The 6,000-nt window shown below is 42.0% G+C and overlaps 1 long non-coding RNA gene across 1 annotated transcript in view, besides 1 other annotated feature; it reads left to right on the top strand.

Moving 5' to 3' along the window:
* Nucleotides 1-827: 827 nt before the first annotated feature.
* Nucleotides 828-6,000, top strand: part of LOC124902983 (uncharacterized) — a 57,302-nt gene continuing 52,129 nt past the window's right edge. The window contains exon 1 of the long non-coding RNA XR_007063406.1: nucleotides 828-1,048. This is a non-coding gene — a long non-coding RNA (uncharacterized LOC124902983). The remainder of the gene's footprint in view (nucleotides 1,049-6,000) is intronic.
* Nucleotides 5,568-5,862: an enhancer, noted in NCBI's record as "tiled region #11325; HepG2 Activating DNase matched - State 12:CtcfO". NCBI's record gives its function as "activates a minimal TATA promoter and a strong SV40 promoter by Sharpr-MPRA in HepG2 cells {active_cell/tissue: HepG2}" and the evidence as "EXISTENCE:reporter gene assay evidence [ECO:0000049][PMID:27701403]".

The following is a 6,000-nucleotide window of genomic DNA, read 5'->3' as shown; positions in this document are numbered from 1 at the left end:
TGGTGTCACAGTTTCCATTTAGCTCAGGTCAAGATCGCAACTAAGGCGATTTGTTTGATAACTTCCACCTGTGTCTTAATAGGTTCTGCTCCCTCCCAGGTGTCCTGGGCAATAGGCAATGAGAATTGAAAGGAGATAAGAAAGAGTAAGCCATCAGCTCTTCAGATATCAGAATTGCAGGCTGTATAGCTCAGTCGCGCTGCCAGCACATTCTCTAGGGCCCTGAGGTGTCCAAGTTCACTTTGTTTTTCTTTGGAAGAATTAGAAAAAGGTGTTGGTTGGCTCACCTACCAGCTGTACCCTGTGGCTGAAACAGCCTATTTAGGCCAGAGTGAATTGGTCAGTTATTCCTCCATCCTCATGAGTTGTTCCACTGCACCGAAGTTACCTTCCTAAAGAAGCAGCTACAAAGATCATTTTATCTTCAGTGCCAAGGGGTGGGCTAGAGAAGATGCTGCCAGGACTTGGAGTGGCTGGGGATGATGGGCTAGTTTTTAAGCAGGCAAATTGGCCAGAGGGACTTAGAAAGGGTTAGCAACAGGACTGTTTCTCCTTTTTTTCCCTTCTGACAGTAATGAACAAAACATGTTAGGCTTGTTTTCAATTATGTAACAAGTTTCCATTCATTAGAAACCAAGGGAGCCATCCTAACTATACTTCAGTGACCTGGAAAGGGCAGCTCCCTACTTGGCCTAAGGTTGAGCAGTTTTGCTATTCAGCATCAGTGCTGCCAGCTCACGTATCCTGGGAATGCATATTGCATATTCAGGAAACAGAGACAAATCTTTTTCACTTGAGTCAAGAGGGTTCAGGGCTTGTCATCTGTTTCTGGGATATAGAGAAATGGAAAATAGAAGAGTTCTAACCTCATTCTGTATTGCAAGGGAAGGAGCTTGTCATATAGTCACTTGTGTTGGACCCTTGAATGGCTCAACTCACTGTCCTCGTACAGTGATCACTTCAAAGAAGCACGTGTTTCACTGAATACAACCAGGGGCCCATCTATCTCATGCCTCTAGCTTTTCATCCTCCTCCCTTGAAAATTAAGGTGGGTGATTTTGATTTTTAAAAATTTTCCAAAAGAAAATTGATGCTTGCCTTGAAGTGAACATGAATATTACTTGTATGAGTGTGTTTGTGTGTTGTGGGGGTTGGAGTGGATGGGAGGATATTTCTTCATAGTGGCAGCTTATCATTTTTAGCTGATATGGTTTGGCTGTGTCCCCACCTAAATCTCATCTTGAATTGTAGTTCCCATAATCCCCATGTGCTGTTGGGGGGACCTGGTGGGAAGTGATTGGATCACGGGGCAGTTTCCCCTATGCTGTTCTCGTGGTAGTGAGTGAGTTCTCACGAGATCTGATGGTTTTATAAGCGTCTGGCATTTCCCCTGCTGGCACTCATTCTCTTTCCTGCTGCCCTTTGAAGAGGTGCCTTCCACCATGATTGTAAGTTTCTTGAGGCATCCCCAGCCATGCAGAACTGAGAGTCAATGAAATCTCCTTTCTTTATAAATTACCCAGTCTCAGTTATTTCTTCATAGCAGCATGAGAATGGACTAATACCATAGGCATCAGTCAAAACATGCTCAGGGAACTCCTTTTATCTGCAGTCTGGCTCAGATGATAAGAATGATAGAATTGCTCTGTAGTTAGGATGTTGCTCCAAGCTGCCTGGGTTCAAATCCAGACTCAGCTCCATACTACCTGGAGAAATTCTGAACATAATATCGAACACTTTGTGCCTCTGTTTTCTCAGCTGTGAAACTGAACTCATAACAGTATTTGCTTCAAAGATTTGTTGCGGTTAAATGCATTCATGATTGTTGCACAGTAACTGCATGATTAATACTAACTATTCACATTGTGAAACTATCAACATCATACAAATTGTATAAATGTATTTATGTAATATAATTTTATTACATATACATATTTTATTATCATGTAAAAATATGCATTTATATGTTTATATATATGAGGTTGTAATGAAAATTTTTGTTAAATGATATTTTTATATCATACAAATATATTTTTAAAATCTTATGAGATATCCTTTTGGAAAAAAGGAATGATTTTTCTCTTTATTATGTTTTTGGTATAGATTGTACTAGTTTTTTTTTTTTTTTTTTTTTTGAGATGGAGTCTTGCTCTGTCTCCCAGGCTGGAGTGCAGTGGCGCGATCTCAGCTCACTGCAAGCTCCTCCTCCCAGGTTCACACCATTCTCCTGCCTCAGCCTCCCAAATAGCTGAGACTACAGGCGCCTGCCACCACACCTGGCTAAGTTTTTGTATTTTTAGTAGAGACGGGGTTTCACCATGTTAGCCAAGATGGTCTCAATCTCCTGACCTCGTGATCAACCCACCTCGGCCCTCAAAGTGCTGGGATTACAGGCGTGAGCCACCGCGCCCGGCCAGATTGTACTGGTTGAACCCAACCTGGGAATCTAATTTGATGCTTAGAGGAACTGGAAGGCTGACCACCTCTCTAAGCACCAAATGCTCATGGGGACTCTTTACTTTTATTTATTTATTTATTTAGAGATGGAGTCTTGCTCTGTTGCCCAGGCTGGAGTGCAGTGGCACAGTCTCGGCTCACTGCAACCTCTGCCTCCCAGGTTCAAGTGATTCTCCTGCCTCAGCCTCCCGAGTAGCTGGGACTATAGGCATGTGCCACCATGACCGGCTAATTTTTTTCTATTTTGAGTAGAGATGGGATTTCACCATGTTGGCCAGGCTGATCTCGAACTCCTGACCTCGTGATATGCCCGCCTCGGCCTCTCAAAGTGCTTGGATTATAGGAGTGAGCCACCGCACCTCGCCAGGCTCTTTATTTTTAATATTTTAGTGGAAAGAGTAGAGGGGAATGTTGGCAAGTGGAGAAATACCTAAGGAGAGAAATGGAGAGAAGGGGGTTGGCACGAGGATGGCAGGGTGTCTGCCTGTCCCTCTCATTGGGGAAGGGGCTGGCCTGAGGCCTGATGGGGAAAGTGCAGAGGGTTAGTGCCAGAGGCCAAGGAGGTGGCCATGAGAGACTGGCGGGTGGTGGTTGGGGATTGTGGCTTCTCTGTCGCAACCTCAGTGCACTGGGATTCCCTGGTCCTGGAGGGCAAGTCTCTGGGGAGCAGCAGCAGCCCCCCAGAGAGAGAAACCAGAGGGCAGAGCTTCACAGTCAAAGAATATGGGCACATGTGAGATACTCTCTGGGGACCCCAAAAAATAGTTAGGAGAGAACTTTAAGGATGTATCTTTTAACAGTAAGGCTGAAAGCTAAGAGTACTATGATTTGGGGAATTCAGGCTAAGAATATTCAGGAGGTTACCAAAAATCTAGTCTTTTCGATTTGGAAGTAGATGAAAGCAAAATCTGCTTATCTTAATTCTAAATTCTAAGATATACTTTGATTTAATGATTTTCTTTTTTTGGAGGAAGTTGGGAACTAGAAAGAATAAACCAAAACATACAAAACCAAAACATAGAAGTACATATTGATTTTAAATTATGCTTCAATATTAGAAACATCAAAATGTGAAAATGTATTTTCACAACCTTGAGAAAATAAATATGTTGTGAAATCCTGGAAAAATAATGTTTTATTGGGGCTGATTTTTTTTCCCATCCCAATTACCCAAAGGATATTTAATGGCTGGTGAGCTTAAAAATCTTGTTGCTTCTTGAAAGACAAAGGAAGGATTGAAGAATTGGAATGAACAAGTGTGATAATGACAATAATAAGGATTACCATATAGAATAATGATTACCTGCAAGACACCATGTCCAATGCTTCGTATATGTTATTTCCAATTCTTTCTATAATCTGAAGACCTGGGTGTTATTAGTCCTATTTTACAAATGAGGAAACTAAGGTTCAGGAAGTTAGTATGAATCTGCAAAAAGTCACAAAACTACTAGATGATGAAGATGAGACTGGAAATGTGCTCTGTTGGATTCTCCCAAAGTTTACACTTCAAAGGTAGCAAAAGATGCAATGTTAAGCCTCAAACCAAAGAGGGGCAAAGTGGAAAAGGGGAGTCCTAGAAAGTGACAAGGAAGGGCTGGCCTCACTGGGGCTTTGGAAAGGAGAGCACTGTTCTAATCTCAGCTCCATAATAACAGCAAAATCTTATTATGTGTCACAATCAAGGCTAAGCACTTTGCATGTATTGTCTTATTTAATTCTCACAACAGCCCTGAGAAATTATTACTATTCACATTGTACAGACAAGGAATCTGGGGCCCAGAGAAGGAATTATTCTGTTGCTAAGTTTATTAAAATTTTTTTTTTTAAATTGATACATAATATTTGTACATAGTAGACCGGGTGAGGTGGCTCACACCTGTAATCCCAGCACTTTGGGTGGCCAAGGCGGGTGGATCACCTGAGGTCAGGAGTTCGAGACCAGCCTGGCCAACCTGGTGAAACATCATCTCTACTAAAAATACAAAAATTAGCTGGGCATGGTGGCGGGCACCTATAATCCCAGCTACTGGGGAGGCTAAGGCAGGAGAATCGCTTGAACTTGGGAGGTGGAGGTTGCAGTGAGCCAAGATCATGCCATTGCACTTCAGCCTGGGTGACAAGAGTGAAACTGTCTCAAAAAATATATATTTGTACATATTTATAGGGTACAGGTGATATTATGTTATATGTATAAACAGGGTGTTCCAGCATAAGCAGGTACCCTCTACTCAGTCCTTGTTCCTACCTTTGCAAAACTCACTGTTCTACTGTTTTCCAGTGGCTTTCAAGACCAAATAAGTACATTTACAATGGTAATAGTGACATCAATGACTAAAGTTTTGGTCACTCTCAAAATTGAGAAAATGACCAAAAGGGGGGAGTTTTTAAAGTGAACTAAATATGACCTGAGAAGGACTCTGAACTTCTGTGTTTAAGTCCTTGTGGATGAACTGCAACCTAACGCAGTAGGTAGACAAGAGTGAGACCCTAACTTGGGAGTGTATGCCGGTAACAGTGGCTGGGTCTTGGCCAATCCCAGCAGCCGTGCCTCAGCCACTCATATGCTGTTGCGTGTTCAAACTGTGTTCAAATAAGGCAAATGCTGAGCTTTAACCAAGCCAGTTGTTTCTGTACCTCACTTCCAATTTCTGTACGTCACCTCCCTTTTTTTGTCTATAAATCTTCTTCTACCACGTGGCTGTGCTGAAGTCTCTCTGAATCTGCTGTGATTCTAGGGGCTGCCCGATTCATGAATTGTTCATTGCACAATTAAACTCCTTTAAATTTAATGTGGCTGATTTTTTTTAAACACGTGTAGAATGTGAAATGATCAGGGTATTTAGGGTATACATCATCTCGAATATTTGTCATTTCTATATGTTAGGAACATTTAAAATCCTGTCTTCTAGCTATTTTGAAATATACAATACATTATTGTTAACTATAGCCACCCTACTCTGCTGACAAACATTAGAACTCATTCCTTCTATCAGTTGGTAAGTTTAAACTCTGGTCAGCCTGACTCCAAGTCCTGTGTTCATAACCAGTCAATTACTTTATATCAAAAATGACCTACGTTTTCCTTGGCAAGTTAAGGCCTCTCTTTCATATCCTTTCCCAAACCTGGTTTCTCCTTCAGACCCTGTTCCAAACTCACCCCGGATGGTTTATGAGACGGATTTTGTCAGCCAGTTTTGTTTCTGAACTCACAATGAAGGAACCACAGGGTGGCAGTGTAACATTGCACAGTTCAAACAAGAGGGCATGAGACTGCATCATCCCAAGTGCACCAACCAGGTCAGACTCAACTCTTAGGCAGACAAACCACTGACCAACTGGCTTTAGTTCATCCTGTTGCAAACACACAGAACGCATTCCTCATGGGCTAATCTGAGGAGAATCGATCCCAGAGACCTCAGCTGAATGACAACGGTGGCCCTAATATCACAGGGAATGCAATACGTTTTTAAATATTTTGCATGCCGACCCTTCACTCTCCTCTCTCTATTTAGGCTTTATGAAATCTGTGTGTGAAAAGTA

This window comes from Homo sapiens, chromosome 12 (assembly GCF_000001405.40).
Source record: "Homo sapiens chromosome 12, GRCh38.p14 Primary Assembly".
Lineage (NCBI taxonomy): Eukaryota > Metazoa > Chordata > Mammalia > Primates > Hominidae > Homo > Homo sapiens.
Note: the sequence above shows the minus strand (reverse complement) of the source record. Positions and strands in the feature narration are given on the sequence as shown.